This window comes from Homo sapiens, chromosome 9 (genome assembly GCF_000001405.40).
Source record: "Homo sapiens chromosome 9, GRCh38.p14 Primary Assembly".
Lineage (NCBI taxonomy): Eukaryota > Metazoa > Chordata > Mammalia > Primates > Hominidae > Homo > Homo sapiens.
This window is the reverse complement of record NC_000009.12, coordinates 110,165,304-110,181,627: the sequence shown is the minus strand read 5'-3', so window position 1 is coordinate 110,181,627 and position 16,324 is coordinate 110,165,304. Positions and strand designations below refer to the sequence as shown.

The window sequence follows — 16,324 nt, the reverse complement described above, 5'->3', positions numbered from 1 at the left end:
AATAGCCCTTCCCTAAACTAAACCACCTTTGTAAAACTAATGAAAGGCCACAAGATTAGGATTACAAGAGGGGCCTGAATTCTGCTAAGATATAGGTGTAGTTAAATGGTAACCAGCGGCTAGGTCCAGGGTCCGGTTCCAGCCCATGCTGAGGTCCGAAGGGAGTGGGTGGATAAATGGCAGATAGCTGAAAGAACATTTGGGGGGCCGTAGGTAGGTGAAATACAGCAGCTCTCTTACACTGTCTCATCAGCAGCTCTCTTACACTGTCTGCTCTGTCTTGGCTGCTTGCTCTGGCAGCTCCCATGCACGGCTGCATGGCCAGCTCGCCCTTCAGGGTCAGCAGCTTAACTCTTTCTCTCTCTGGGCACGAGCAAGCTGAGCGGTGTCCTGGCTCCCCTCTGTCTATCTGCAAAGTCAGCTTTGACTCTTTCTCTTTCTTAGGGTGTGAGCATCTGTACAGTGTCAGCAGGGCAGTTATACCTTTTACAGACAATAGTGGCATAGAGCCAAGTGATGGCCTTCCCATATTATGGCTACATAGCTGTGTTTACATTATAACAAGCAGAGTTACACACCTGCACTACAAACTCGCTGAGTCATACAGGATATAAACATCCTACCTTGGCCTATCCTTGACCAAAGCACATTCATTAACTTACACCAGCCATTGTTCTGGAGGCTACAGGATCTGTAACTTCTCCGATCACTCCCATAAGTAACATCACTATTGTAGAACCTAAGATTGGTCTTTGAGATGTTTTTCAGAGTTTTGCATTTCTGGCAACCAACTGACTCTGTCTGGATCCATGTGACTTGTGACTCAACAGTTACTGTGGCCCCTGGCCAGAGGTGAACTCAGTGCACAAGGACCATTTTCCACATCCCTATGATTTCATCCCCAACCAGTCAACATTCCCCATTTCCTAGCCCCCTGCCCACCAAACTATCCTTGAAAAACCCAAGCCTTTGGGGAGACTGATTTGAGTAATAACTCTGTCTGCTGCATGGCCAGCCTTGCATTAATTACACTCTTTACTGCAATACCATGGTCTCAGCAAGATGGTTTTTTCTCTGCAGTGGGCAGGAAGAATGTGTTAAGCAATTGCAGATGCTACAAAGACACTTAGAATTGTCACTAGGGGTTTTCTTATGCATCCTAGCTCCCTTACTTTTTTTTTTTTTTTTTGAGACAGTCTCATTCTGTCACCCAGGCTGGAGTGCAATGGCATGATCTCAGCTCACAGCAAACTCCACCTCCTTGTTTCAAGTGATTCTCCTGCCTCAGCCTCCTGAGTAGCTGGGATTATAGGCCCCCACTACTATACCCAGCTAGGCTGGTCTTGAACTCCTGTCCTCAAGTGATCCACCCACTTCGGCCTCCCAAAGTGTTTGGATTACAGGTGTGACCCATGGCACCTGGCCCCTTACTACCTTTAGAGAGATGATAGGCTCCAGGTGTAATAAGCTCAAGCTCTTCCCCAAACCACATTCTCAGTATAAAGAGAAATTGTGTTGTTCTCAACACAATACAGAGGAGAGGTGACTATAGTCTCTTGTTCGAGCTTCAACACAAAGTTAAAATGTCTTTGCCTCACTGATAATTCTTTTCAGTTCTGTGGTTAAGAACTCTGACTTTGGTAAGACTGCCTAGATACGGATGACTTTATGCGAGTCATCACTTCAACTATTTGTGCTTCAGTTTCTTAAAAGTGAAAAGGGAGGAATAACATGACTTAGCATATAGTTGTAATAGGTTGTAGCTGCCCTATTACCACATTTCATCAAATCTCATACGCCATCAATTGGAATTTGAATTTCTAAATATAACCATTAAGAAAAAGCACTGCCATTTAGACCACAACCCAATACCCTCTGATCACTGAGAATGTTTATTTTGTGCCCATTGAATAGCTCCTTTGGGCTTATTTAAATATAGATATTTATGATACATCACTCTTGTGCATGCATAAAAAAGGGAAGAACAAACAAAATAAATTGGCCAAGGTATTCCTAAGACATCTTTGTGTTAAAGTCTAAAGGTATTCCTAAGACATCTTTATGTTAAAGTCTAGCTCTCCTGAGTTCTTTTTCCACATTTTTATACACATGATCATCCTCTGTGGCCATGTGTGTCAGTGCAGTATTTCTTTTCTTTTTTTGAGACAGGATTTCGCTCTGTTGTCCAGGGTGGAGTGCAGTGGCATGATCGTAGCTCATTGCACCCTTAACCTCCTGGGTTCAAGTGATCCTCCTGCCTCAGCCTCCAAGTGGGACTACAGGTGTGTGCCACCATGCCCGGCTAATTTTTTGCTTTTGTAGAGATGCAGTCTCACTCTGTTGCCCAGGCTAGTTTCAAACTCCTAGCCTCAAGCAATCCTCCCGCCTCAGCTTGCCAAAGTTGTTAGGATTACAGGCATGAGCCACTGTGCCTTGCCAGCACAGTATTTCTTAAGGGGGTACTCCACTATTGAATCTGGTATTTCCTTCCAAGTCAGCCATACCCATTCTGTAAATTTGGTGACTGGCACTTTCCCACTGGACTAAGCTCATAGTTAAATAAGCAGGCAGCTTCCATCAAACTCATGCTTGCCATCCTAAAAGTGATCCAAATGATGAACAAATTATTTACAATAGCTTCTCATTCTTTGAAATGTTTAAAATCTATTCTAAGGCTTGTCCATTCCTCTTGCCTTCCATTGCATGGGTTAGTATGTAAACAACACATGCATGGCCAGCAAGGCTGAAAACTCAATTACGGTGACCCCAATAGAAATAGCCACACCCAAGTTTTCCCTTGCTTAGGTCAGGCCAGGTACTCATGTCTGTGCCCACGCAGCAGGGATTGTAAGACACATTCTAATTGCAGAGATAATAAAATGTTCAGAAGTGAGACCCTTAGAAACGGTGGCATGTGATGCTCTTCTTTTATTGCTTCTCCTAGCATTGTCCCTTTTATGATTCTGCTTTAACTCAAACTGTCAGAAAGGGTGTAGCAACAAGCAATATGACTGTGGTGCCCAGGATTCCAAAAAGAATCCTTCAGTGTTACCATGCCAACCAGCATCCATCCCAAGAGTTGCCTCTGAATAAGGTGGGTCCACCTGTGGTGTGTCAGCCACTGGCAAACACCAGAGGCTGCAGGGCACAGAAAAAAAAAACCCAATCTTGGCTGTATTCCTCCCAGTGCCCAGCATTCTTAGGTGTGGAGGTGACAGATGAGTCAAACAATCATAGGGCAACAAAGGATGCATCCTGTGGCCTGCAGAACCTCAGGGAAAGCTCATATCCTTCCTTTGAATTTGGAGGGTCGGGTGAGGATGGGCAGACATTTGCAAAAGTAAAGTCTATTTGAGGGTCCTGTCCAGAGACCTCTGTGCAGGAACTAGCTGCCTGCTTCCAGGTGAGACTTAAAAAAAAAAAAAAAGAAAGAAAGAAACGGCCAGGCGCAGTGGCTTATGCCTGTAATCCCAGCACTTTGGGAGGATGAGGTGGGCGGATCACAAGGTCAGGAGTTCAAGACCAGCCTGGCCAACATGGTGAAACCCCGTCTCTACTAAAAATACTAAAAAATTAGCTGGGCGTGGTGGCACACGTCTGTAGTCTCAGCTACTCAGGAAGCTGAGGCAGGAGAATCACTTGAACCTGGGAAGCAGAGATTGCAATGAGCCGAGACGGTGCCATTGCACTCCAGCCTGGTGACAGAGCAATACAAGCATACATTTGTTTGTTTATATTTACCTGTATTATCTATTTAAATATTTTGTTTTATGGCACCACCTATTAACATTCATTTAATGTATTTTATATGTATTTGATGTATGCTGATCAATTATTTCACCACATGTTATATTCCTTCTTTTTTTTTTGAGACAAGAGTCTCGCTCTCTCGCCCAGGCTGGAGTGCAGTGGCATGAGCTTGGCTCACTGCAAACTCCACCTCCGGGGTTCAAGCCATTCTCCTGCCTTAGCTTCACGAGTAGCTGGGATTACAAGCGTGTGCCGCCATACCCATGTTCACACTCATGTCTGAGACCAATTTAGATTAAATAAATTAGAATATCTGGGGCTGAGGCCCAAGCACTGGTTTGTCTGTTTATTGATTTTTGAGACAGTCTCATTTTGTTGCCCAGGCTGGAGGGCAGTGGCATGATCTTGGCTCACTGCAACCTCCGCCTCCTGGGTTCAGGCAAGTCTCATGCCTCAGCCTCCCAAGTAGGTGGGATTACAGGCATGTGCCACCACACCTGGCTAATTTTTGTATTTTTAGTAGAGATGGGGTTTCACCATGTTGACCAGGCTGTTATTGAACTCCTGGCCTCAAGTTATCCGCCTGCCTTGGTCTCCTAAAGTACTGGGATTACAGGCATGAGCCACCACACCCAGCCAGCACTAGTATTTTTAAAATCACTTGAGCTGATCCTAATGTAAGCACAGGTTAGAGCCACTGCACAGGGTGGTATTGCTCAAGGCTTGCTGCATATGGGTCACCTGGGATGCTCTTAGAGCATATTAATACCTGGACCCCAACCCATGTCAACTGAATCCAAATTTTAAAACTCTCTGGGTGATTCTAATGTGGAGTCAGAATTGAGATGTGCTGCCCTCGACCAAATAAGAATAACTTCTTACTTTGCTTCTCATCTCAAATTATGTAACCATGTCACTCAAACAAACTTATGTTATTGGTCCTTATGTTATTAAGTCCAAACTTGGCCGGGCGCGGTGGCTCACGCCTGTAATCCCAGCACTTTGGGAGGCCGAGGCGGGCGGATCACGAGGTCAGGAGATCGAGACCATCCTGGTTAAAACGGTGAAACCCCGTCTCTACTAAAAATACAAAAAATTAGCCGGGCGTAGTGGCGGGCGCCTGTAGTCCCAGCTACTTGGGAGGCTGAGGCAGGAGAATGGCGTGAACCCGGGAGGCGGAGCTTGCAGTGAGCCGAGATCCCGCCACTGCACTCCAGCCTGGGCGACAGAGCGAGACTCCGTCTCAAAAAAAAAAAAAAAAAAAAAAAAAAAAGTCCAAACTTATGTTATTGTGCATCAGCCCACATAATAAAAACTTCTTCCAGTGGTCAAATGAATTCCTTGATCTTACCCTGAAATTAAAGTCTGAACATACAGAGATATTTTCCTCTTTCCCCCACTTTCTTCTTAATCTGTTTAGCCACAGTTGGAGGGGCCTCGTTCGAGAATCTAAGTGGAGTCAAAGTTCTGCTTCACCAAGGCCCACAAAATGGTGAGTCGGTAGGCTGCACAAACACACAAAAGCCCCCAACAAATATTCACAACACCCCAGAACCACACGTGGCTGTGTTTGCAGCTTATCAGTCATGTATCAGTTCCCCCATTTTCAAACATAAGTGGCAGGCCCAGACATATTCATTTCTCATACTCTAGACCGATGGTTCTCAAAGGAGGTCCCTGGACCAGCAGCAGCAGCATCTCCAGGGAGCTAGGTAGAAAATTCTGGGGCTTCGCTCCAGATCTACTGATCAGAAATTCTGGGATGGGACCCAGAATCAGTAGATCTGATTCAGTAGATCAGAAATGGGGCCCAGATTTGTAACAAGCCCTCCAGGTGATGCAGAACTCACTCCAATTTGAGAGCCAGGGCTCACCAGAGGCTCTTTGATATAACCAGCTGAAGACCGCTGCAGAGACTGAATGTTCCATACATGAGCAGACAGAGAAAAACCAAACTGATTTGTGTTTTTACTTGTCTCAGGTAGCAGTAGACTCATTCCAGTTGTCCAGAGTCCACCCACTTTGAACTTAGAACAAAGAGAACTCTCCATCCAGAGTTTGGATAACTCTCCCATCAAGGTTAACTGACATTGAGATCACCATGTCTTCGCAACATGAAACAATGCGCACCATGCAAATACTCTTCTTTCTCCCAGAGAAAGCATGTGAATGCTTGGGCAACATTTAGAAATTGCCGATGTGGCATCTCCAGGTATTTCCTGAGTCCCCATTTTTTCACTTGGTGTCATCTTGTACATTTAAAATCTTTTGCATTCTCCTTTTCAATTTCCCATTTGTTCTCTATGTCCCTAGCAGCTCAATTCTGAATTTGGTGTGAGTTCCGTGTAGGGAGGAGTATAGTCACTGCCCTCTCATGGCCCAGGAATCCCCTAACTAAAATGAGCAGTGCTCCAAAGTAACCTCATGGCCTTGTGTGTCTCACAATGACAGCCTCTGTCACAAATACAAAACAGGGGAGATGAGCCTGGGTAATGGACACAGGCCCCCATCCCTTCCCACAGATACACATCACAGAGCAAAGACCCTGCATAACTGCCCTCTACTGGGTAAAGGGTTAATGCCTTTTAACATTGGTAGTTTTGTGGTTAGAGCATCCCAAAAAATAACTTCCATTGTGAGTGTTGTACCCTCCTCTACCATTGCAGGAGACTTGCTTTTTCACACATGGCCTGAGTTCCTTCCTTCCCAGCACGCCTGCCTGCCAAATCTCATCCCTACCTCTGCCTGAGGCCTCCAGATGTTAGTAGTGATGGATGGAAACAGGACCAGGACTGAATCCATACGTGGTCACAGCACCACTGCCCCTGGTTCCTGGAGGCAGCCTGGAGAGGAAGCTTTATTCCTCATTAGTGAGAGAGCTGATGGCTACATGTTGACATGAAGGACTCCTTTTGTTGTATTCAACATAAAGCCCCTTTCCCCAAACTCTTACTCTGGTTTCTTTATTTTCCTACTCCCTCTACTACCTCCAACTCTTTTTCTTTTCTTTCTTTCTTTCTTTCTTTTTTTTTTTTTTTTTGCTGGAACTTTATTGTGGTATAATTTACTTAACAAAGTTTACTCATTTCAAGTGTATGATTCTCAGTACATTTAAAATTGAGCAACCCATATACACCATGGAATACTATGCAGCCAGAAAAAATGATGAGTTCATGTCCTTTGTAGGGACATGGATGAAATTGGAAATCATCATTCTCAGTAAACTATCACAAGGACAAAAAACCAAACACCGCATGTTCTCACTCATAGGTGGGAATTGAACAGTGAGAACACATGGACACAGGAAGGGGAACATCACACTCTGGGGACTGTTGTGGGGTGGGGGGAGGGGAGAGGGATAGCATTAGGAGATATACCTAATGCTAAATGACGAGTTAATGGGTGCAGCACCCCAGCATGGCACATGTAAACATATGTAACTAACCTGCACATTGTGCACATGTACCCTAAAACTTAAAGTATAATAAATAAATAAATAAATAAAATAAAAATAAAATTGTGCAACCATCACCACAGTTTAATTTTATCACATTTTTATCACCCTATTTGCAGTCAATTTTGGGTCCTTTCTTTTGGCAGCTGCGATGCCTGGGCCATCTGCTGTCACCATCTCCTGGGAGAGATGATCTCGAAGAGAAGAGCCCAGAGAAAGTTCATCCAAAGGAAGAAAGTTCTTTGTTGCTCCCACCAAAACCTCACTCTTCCCCTAGACTTGGGCTCCTATCACAGCCTTGGCTTTGATCCCTGAGAGCCTCTTTCCTGGACAGTACAGTGCGGGGAGATGGTGCAAGCCCATTTCGACTTCACACGCATGTGAAGCTGCCAATGTGTGCTTCTGTGGGAAGAGCAGTTAAGAGCCGGGGTTCAAATGCAAGCACTACCATTTACAAGCTATGCATTGAAAAACTAACCTCCCGGGGCTGCAGTTTCCTACTATGTAAAATGGAAATCAATATAAATATAAATATAAATGTATCATAGTCATGGAGAGCCTGGAGTGCCTGTCACATTCTCAGTGACATTCACAAGTGTTATCCACTGTTACTAGACTTTGATCAAATTTTTAAAGGGGTGCCCCCACTTCCAAATTCAGAACTCTCACCACTTAGAGGTTGAAAGATATCACCCCTGACAGGTGCCACAGAACACCCCCAGATGCTCAGAACAGGAAGATATGGTTGGAAATCCTGGGGAGAAAAAGGCTGGAAGAGTTACAAATGCGGAGAGAGAGAAAAAGGCAGCTGGAAAGGAAGTACCAGGAAGAGGAGGGGCCGAGGGAAAGACTAGGAAAACTGATGGTCAGGGGTCAGGGGCCCAGGGCTCGGTGATGGGATGGAGCAGCCGGAGACTGAAGCGGGAGGGAGGAAGTAGAAGGGAGGACGCTTCCTGAGAAACTTGTGGTCTTCGCATGCTCTTGAAATGAATAAATTTTGTTAAGTAAATTATACCACAATAAAGCTCTAGCAAAAAAAAAAAAAAAAGAAAAAAAAAGAAAAAAGAAAAAAAGAAAGAAAAGAAAAAGAAAAAGAAAAAGAGTTGGGGGTAGTCGAAGAGTAGGAAAATAAAGAAACCAGAGTAAGAGTTTGGGGAAAGGGGCTTTATGTTGAATACAACAAAAGGAGTCCTTCATGTCAACATGTAGCCATCAGCTATTCCTTGCAGAGGAGAGCCAAATACAGGTGCTTAGAATGTGGTTTTTTTTTTTTTTTTTTTTTTTTTTGAGACGGAGTCTGGCTCTGTCCCCCAGGCTGGAGTGCAGTGGTGCGATCTCGGCTCACTGCAAGCTCCGCCTCCCGGGTTCACGCCATTCTCCTGCCTCAGCCTCTCGAGCAGCTGGGACTACAGGAGCCCGCCACCGCACCCGGCTAATTTTTTGTATTTTTAGTAGAGACGGGGTTTCACCGTGTTAGCCAAGATGGTCTCGATCTCCTGACCTCGTGATCCGCCCGTCTCGGCCTCCCAAAGTGCTGGGATTACAGGCGTGAGCGACCGCGCCCGGCCGGTGCTCATAATGTATTCTAAAGGTTAGAGCCAAAAGCTACAGGCAAGGCTGGAGTTTACCGTTCGTCCTGCTGTTTGTCCAGCTCTTGCTGTGGCTTCGAGTCTATGTCCTTAAGAGGCACTTGCAGCTTCTGGCATCTAGCCAGGGTGGCTGGGGACAGCATTGAAAAGGGGGCTGTGGGAACAGCCTGGTGCAGCAGTGCCCCCTCAGCTCGGATTGATTCCTTTGTTGCAAACATGAGGAACCAGAAGCTGTCACACAGTAGCGGCCAAGTAGGACGCTGGCGTGCCACTGTTTGGCCCAGTCTTCCAACCTCCCTCACGGTCAAACAAGCAGCCATTATTTATAAAAACTCAACACACATTGGATTTTAATGAGAAAATAACTGTATACTTGCATTGAATGCCTCACAATCACTCTAAAACCAAAGCAGGATAATAACATTTAAGTGGTTAACATACACAGGAAAACCAGATACAGAGTATAATTTCCAAACACAGTATTGCTGCTTTTTTCCCCTCCTCCCCCAAAAAAAGAAAAACAAAGAAAAAATAATTTGGGTAAAGAGCAACACAAAATCAAAATTGGCAGCTCACTGAATGCTTAAAATTCAGGAAATTTGTTCTTTAACTAAAATGGAATATATTCACCATCTCTAACACTTAGGCTACTTTTTTTTCAATACATAGTTTAATTAAATCCATTCTTTAGTTGGGAAAAAAAAGGTTTAATTATTTGTCTTCAGAGACAAGAATCAACACTGTTTTAGTGTTCCTTGTTACACTTTATATATATATATGTGTGTGTGTATATATATGTGGACATTGATCTATATACGGCTTATATGTCATTGTCTAGGGTGAGCAGCATGCATGGGTATGAAGAGGCAAGTAAACTGCATTGTGTCATCCAAGTAAAACACAGCACGGCCTCCTGCCACTGACAGACCCTGTTTCCATAATTTCTGGATGAGAAAGCCAAGTCATGTCAGTAGTTAATCAGCTCTGGAGGAAAGTGAACACCTATAAACACGGCAGAATGCAATACTTCCAGAAAGGCTTTTAACACCTACAGAATCTAAACATTTTGTAAGAGGTGGGGTTAACAAGCTTGTGTGCTATTTGGGGGTGGGGCTGAGCATCAGAGGCAAAGTTTTTCGTAAGCCTCTTTCTCTCGATGGATTAGGCAGGAATGACTTTCCTCCAGGGGACGGTCCCATCTTCAGAAAGTTAAAAGGGTCCATTTGGGATCCCAGAGCCTAGCACGGTGCTATGTACAAAGCGGTGGCCCAAGGTTTCTTGAATGAATAAAAAACTCAAGAGCACAGAGAAAATCTGGCTCTCCCAAGTAAACTGTAATTTACATTTTCATGGGATTATAATAGGATCTTCAGTGAGTGGAGCAAGAAGATAGACAGCAGTAATCCGGAAGGCAGCATAGGAGTAATAGCAAAAGTTAAGAGATGTAGGGGCCACAGTGAAAACAGCTTTGTGACTGTGGGAGAGTCCCAGAAACAGTATTTCTTTCCTTATCCACACACGGAGCATGGCCCAAGAACCCCCAGCTCTAGAACTCTGTTATTCTTTAAGCAATAAGTGCTCTGGTTCAATCAACTGTGGTCAAAGACCACTTCATCTGCCTCTAAAGCCATTCCGCGAATAGTGTGGCCTCTTAAGCTTTTCTCTTAGCTGTACATTCTCTTGTCAACTGTAGGTTTCATGAAGCACATGGTTTCCTTCAAAACAGAACAAAAAACTTTAAGGTAAGTCATAAGGATGGTTTCCTCTTGTGAAAAATGGGGAAGTTAGTCTATATCATGTCTATGGTCTCTACCAGATCCATGAGTCAGAGAAAACATGAAGCGCATCACATTTTTTGGGCAACCCATAGAACTATCCTACTCTCCAGCCATCCTAACTGCCACTGTGCCTGGGGCTGTGCAATGCTGCTGCCTCCTCTGTTCTTATCCCTGTGTCTGCTTTGGGAACGCCCCCTTATCGCTGGGTTCTCAGCCCAGGCATCTGGGACCTCTGGCTAGAAATCCTCAGGTAAAGACGATCCTCCTTCCTGAGTCCTCCCATTTCACATCAGGACTTCTAATCTAACACGGATCTCATTTTCCTGAGAATTTTAGTCTCCATGCCAACCTCCCTCACTATAAAATGAATTTCTTGCAACAGGGATCTTACTTGTTTTGCGTCCCCAGTGGCTAGCACATTTTGTTGAGAATTCATTCAAAATATTCAGGAGACTCAACCATATAAAGATGGTGCCAATTGCCCATGTGCTATTTGGGCTGCCATCTGTAGGATGTGGCTTCAAGTTAGAGCTCCCTTGGCAGTTTTAAAGGATCCTTGTTAGTAGATGGTTCCATTTTTTACTTTGTGCCTACTTCTCATTTGTGAATAAATGTCCCCCCCCAAAGTCAACACTAGTCTAATAAAAGAAGCAAAGGAAATGTGCGTTAACATCTACATACAAATTTTGTGAAATTGCTACTTGTTAGAATAACATAATAGAGCTTATGACATAACAATATAAAAACAAAAATGATTTTTAGTGAGGTCTGAGTTAATTATTGCTTTTTTAAAAAACCACAGTTTTAAAACAAAGGAAAAAAAAAGAAGGCTGTTTATTTTTTTTTCTTTCTCATGGCCAGAATTGAAAATTTTCTCATCCAGAAATTTAGGGCACCCAATTATTGAATACCCTTATCATATTGCTTTAAATGACAGAAAGATTAAAGCTGGCATCCTCTATAGTATACTAAGCATGAATGTAAAGTATGAGAATAAATAGGAGACTCTCCTAAATGTCAAATTACAAAACCGCTCAAAACTTTGTAATTGTGACTCATGCAAATACCTTGTTAGGTCAACTTAATATTACAAATACTGCATCAGCTCGGTGCCTTTATATCCCTTTTCATAAAAAAGAAATTCTCACTCCACTCCTGAAGCCAGCAAACAGCTCTGGAGGAATTACCTGTACACCCAAGTGCCACGGTCACTCTGGAATTTTAATACACACACACACACACCCTTACTCATGAACATACACATTTTACAAACACACAATGGTGTACACACACACACACACACATCCACACACACCCCATCTTTAGGATTTGTAGCTGATTCCAAGCCTGCACTTATTTCTATTCTATATTTTTCTTTGTATCATCCTGAAACACACTGGTTGCTCAGCAAAAATAGTATCTCTTACCTCCTTATTTTATTCCCATTCTTTCTCCTTCCCTCCCTTTTTCTCTCTCTACCTTCCTGACTTTTCTTTCGTGTTTCCTTTCTGATTGATCCAAAAGGAATCCATCATTCTTCTTCCTATCTCTAAGGCCCACTTTATAATACAAAATAGTTATAAACACCTTTTTATTTCTTATCATCTACCTCTCCAAGGCAGAGTTCGCCTTTTTTTTCAATTATTGCCGCTCTAAAAATGCCCCCACCATCTTGAACCAAGTTGTTCAACGCGTACAGATTCTATACGTGTATATACTCCCCCATCCCATCATAAAAATAGTTGTTGCCCACTAAATATAGTTTTCCTATGAAGAAACATAACTGTGAAAATGTGTTCTCATAAACTGCAGATCAGTGAATATTATAAGCAGACACGATCCTAAAGCTAACATCATCCATTTGGTTTGTTTTTCTCTTCCCCTTTCTCAGCCTCCTCATGTAGAATAGATTGTGTTTGTGACATGAAGAACTATTGTCTTAAAATATGGATTTTATGAATTGTGATCATGAGTTGTTCTCAATTAAAAATAATTAAATGTAGGAGAAGTGGAATCATAACTGCCTCTTCTGGGCAAATATGGAGAGAAACGCCATTCATTTTATGGCTGCTGGAGAAAATGGAGTTAATGCAACACCCTCTGATGCTGCAAGTGACAGGTGGGAAACTGGTGCAGGGAAATATCCTGTGCCATGTAGGCTGCACCAGCCTGGGCCCTACTGCTCTCTAAGTGGCCCTACCACCATTGTCCTTCATCGCCCAGAGAGGCTGGTCTCAGTTCCGCCTGCAGCAACTATGTTGATTTGCTTGTAACATGTTTTGTCCTTTTGGATCCATTGTAGATTGGCCCCAAACCAGACACTGGGATTGAGTCACCAAAAAAGTCCTTTCTCTTTTGATTCCTGGGTGTCCAGAGTCTGATGGGGGGACTTCCTTTTCGTTTCATTTTCATCATTGTATATTGCAGCTTCTGGTCTACATAAGGATTGCTGAGTTTGTTTGCACTTTAATAAATAGTCCATTAAAATGCTTTCAGTTGTTAATTTCTTGGTTTCTTGGTCTCCCAAGCACCAAAGACGCTTCCTGGGTTGAAGGAAGTTTATTCGTTGTCTTCTTCCTCCTGGTTGGCATAGATCCCTGCTTCCCAGCGCAAAGCCAGTGCGCTCTTTCTTCGATTAACCCGTGTGGCCTCGAGGACCTGTAAAGAGAGGGGAAAAAATTATGCAGAGTTCATGGATGTTAATTATGAACATAAACCGACTTCTCTGTTTCTTTCTTCCTTTCTCTTTATCAACTTGAGAGGAGAAAGTGATAAAGCACTGCTGGGAGATAGGAGAGACGCTGGAAAAAGGGGAATGGGAGGTTCTGGTTATGCATTCATCTCACAGCCAGTATTCATCTGCTACTTGACCCCTAGTTTTCACCATAGAGAAATTTAATTTTCATGAAATGTTCTGCAAGTTTCTTTGAACTAGCCGTGATTCTGCATCAAGTTTTCAGATAAAGCAGATCCCTACACGCAGCAGATCAGTGCTGTCCAATTGAACTTTATGCAATGATGAAAACGTATCTCTGCTATCCAGTATGGTAGCCACTAGCCATACGTGGCTATTGAGCACTTGAAATAGGGCTAGTGTGGCTGAGAAGCTAAATATTTAATTTTATTTCATTTTAATTAATTTTAATTTGAATAGCTCCATGTGACTAGTGATTACCATATTAGACAGCACACTATAGATGGTCTTAGTCTCTTCATAAACAAGCAAACCAGAAAATAATTCCAAACAATGGGACCAGTGTGGATTCAGTCCATCAAGCTTTGCAAACCTATATAAGCCATGATGATATTTATAGTATAAAAACCTACTTTGGCAAAATTAAACTAAAAAAGCCATTACATGAAAAAAAAAAGTTCTTGGATCAATAGAAGCAATCTCAGCATTCTGATGCAACTTCAGACCCCACATGCTAATCAATGAAATGAAAGGTGACAACACTAAGGACAAGTAGGCTCACCACCACTGAGGGAGAGCCTCCCTTCCTCCCATTCACTAGGGCAGTCTGTGGAATCCCGAGAGGAGACTTCAGCCTATCTGGTCCAGTTTCAGTTTGATCAAGAAGAGATTCCAGATTAATGGCATTTAGGTTGCCAACATATGAAAAATGGTTCTATTTCATGACCATGCAGAAAACAAGTCCAGGCATTCTTGCCAATTGTTCTGGCATTTGCTTAGGATGTACAGTTTCTGATTTTGAAGAAAAGTCCAGTAGAGCCAACATTGGTTGATTATGCAAACTGCAATGAAGGCACTGCTCATTCTAAATATAATCAGTTAGGCAAGGGACAGTGATGTTGGTGATATGGATTGGCTGTGTCTCCACCCAAATCTCATCTTGAATTGTAGCTCCCATAATCCCCTTGTGTAGCAGGAGGGACTCATAGGAGGTAATTCAATGTGGGAGCGAGTTTTCCCATGCTGTTCTCGTGATAGTGAATAAGTCTCACCAGACCTGATGGTTTTATAAAGGGCAGTTCCCCTGCACACACTGTCTTGCCTGCTGCCATGTAAGACGTGCCTTTGATCTTCCTTCACCTTCTGCCATGATTGTGAGGCCTCCCCAGCCATGTGGAACTGTGAGTCCATTAAACCTCTTTTTCTTTATAAATTACCCAGTCTTGGTTATTTCTTCATAGCAGTATGAAAATGGACTAATACAGTTGGCAACTCCAGAGAAGCAAGGAGATGCAGTTACAGGCAGAGGTGGGAGCCCAGACATAAGCAGATTGTGGGTAGATGGGAGATCGGGGGTCCATCTCAACCTGCTTCTCTGCACCTTTGTCAAAGGAATGGACCACCCAGAGCTTCAACATATCTTCCTCTGTGAAGCCTCCCCTTTTCCTCCTCAGTCACGTTTGCTGAATGAATGATGCATTGTTAAGCACACAAGCCATGTGTGTTTTGCATAATGTGTTTTGTATGTAAGCATATCACGGTCACTCACTCAATATCCACAGATATCTACGAATAACAAATTAGTAGGAGGAAAGCATGCTTCCAAATCTGTATAGTTAAATAGAGAAATTTTCTAATAGTCTAATGTGTGGTAGCATGGAACTGAAAAACAGCACTGGACTGCACGTGGAAGTCTTGGGCTCTATTTCCAGTTTTGTCCTTTGTTGTTCATCTTTTATCTCACATTTCTTATCTATAACATGGAGAACACAGCTACCCCACTTCACAGGCTTTCTCAGAAGGCACTGTGGACTCAGAAGTCCAGGCAGGTCTACTTCAAATCCTCATGACCTTGGAAAAGTCACTTACCCCTGTGCTTCAGTATCCCCATGTAAAATGGGGATCATAAAAACTACAGCATAAAGTTGGACGGATAAATCAATGAGGCAATGTATGTAAAGTATAGTTCCCAGCACATAGTAAGCTCTCAAACTATGATGGAATAATTATTTCTATCATCATGTGAAAGGGATATATAAATTATGAAGTGGCATACAAATAGGGCGTTTTATAAAGAACTCTACATTGTATAAAAGGATCATCTCTTTGCCTTTCAGATTGCAGATACAAACAGAAAGGTTTACATCAAAGCTAAAAATAAATCTAAAGTTCTAAAAACTATGGTCCCCATCCTCTTGGAATGTTCTTTGTCTTGTTATTTAAACCCTATTTTAATTCTCAAACAACTTGAGCAAATTGAGTTTGCTCTGCTCTTTAGGAACTCTTGTTACAAGCCATCTATCAATCCAATTTACACATATTTATTAGTTTCCTACCAAGTATAAGGCACAGTGCTTCGTGTTGAGGATAGAATAGTCCCTTCCCTCATGGAGTTTAGTGACGAAAAGTATAATGGGCAGAAAAATAATACTCATAATTATGGAAACGTTTAGTATAGCTTGGGTTTGGACATCTACTTGTCAAGAGCCCCAGTAATTCACTTATACCAACAATGAGCTCTCTTTTCTTAATTCATTCCCCTAGTATGTATGCCCATTTACCATGGTCATACAATCACTTACCATGGCCATACAATAAATTTCTAGTGAAATCTAAAGCCTCTAGTAATGGCACAGACAAGAAAATAAACATCCTTACTGAAATACCTGGCAATCTTGATATAAAGCTGTCTTTGGGTTCATAAGGCTTATGACCCAGGGGTGTCTGGGAGTAAAGCTGCACCACAACTGGTCTTCAGAAGATTCAAAAATCAAGGTATTTGAATGAGTATCTGTTCTGTAATTAATTCAGACGTGTGTGTGTGTGTGTGTGTGTGTGT

At 42.9% G+C, this 16,324-nt stretch overlaps 1 protein-coding gene and 1 long non-coding RNA gene across 18 annotated transcripts in view; one reads left to right on the top strand and one right to left on the bottom strand.

Annotated features, from left to right (window-relative positions):
* The first annotated feature begins 2,930 nt into the window (after positions 1–2,930).
* Positions 2,931–7,746, top strand: LOC105376217 (uncharacterized). The gene is made up of 4 exons (XR_007061726.1): positions 2,931–3,094; positions 5,171–5,242; positions 5,732–5,962; positions 6,417–7,746. It is a non-coding gene; the product is annotated as an uncharacterized LOC105376217 (long non-coding RNA).
* Positions 7,747–9,115: 1,369 nt separating this feature from the next.
* Positions 9,116–16,324, bottom strand: part of PALM2AKAP2 (PALM2 and AKAP2 fusion) — a 531,726-nt gene continuing 524,517 nt past the window's right edge. For all 17 annotated transcript variants that reach the window (XM_047423410.1, XM_047423411.1, XM_047423414.1 and 14 more), the window contains one exon: positions 9,116–13,229. In XM_047423410.1, coding sequence (XP_047279366.1) covers positions 13,131–13,229 — 99 coding nt within the window. In that variant the 3' untranslated portion in view covers positions 9,116–13,130. The remainder of the gene's footprint in view (positions 13,230–16,324) is intronic.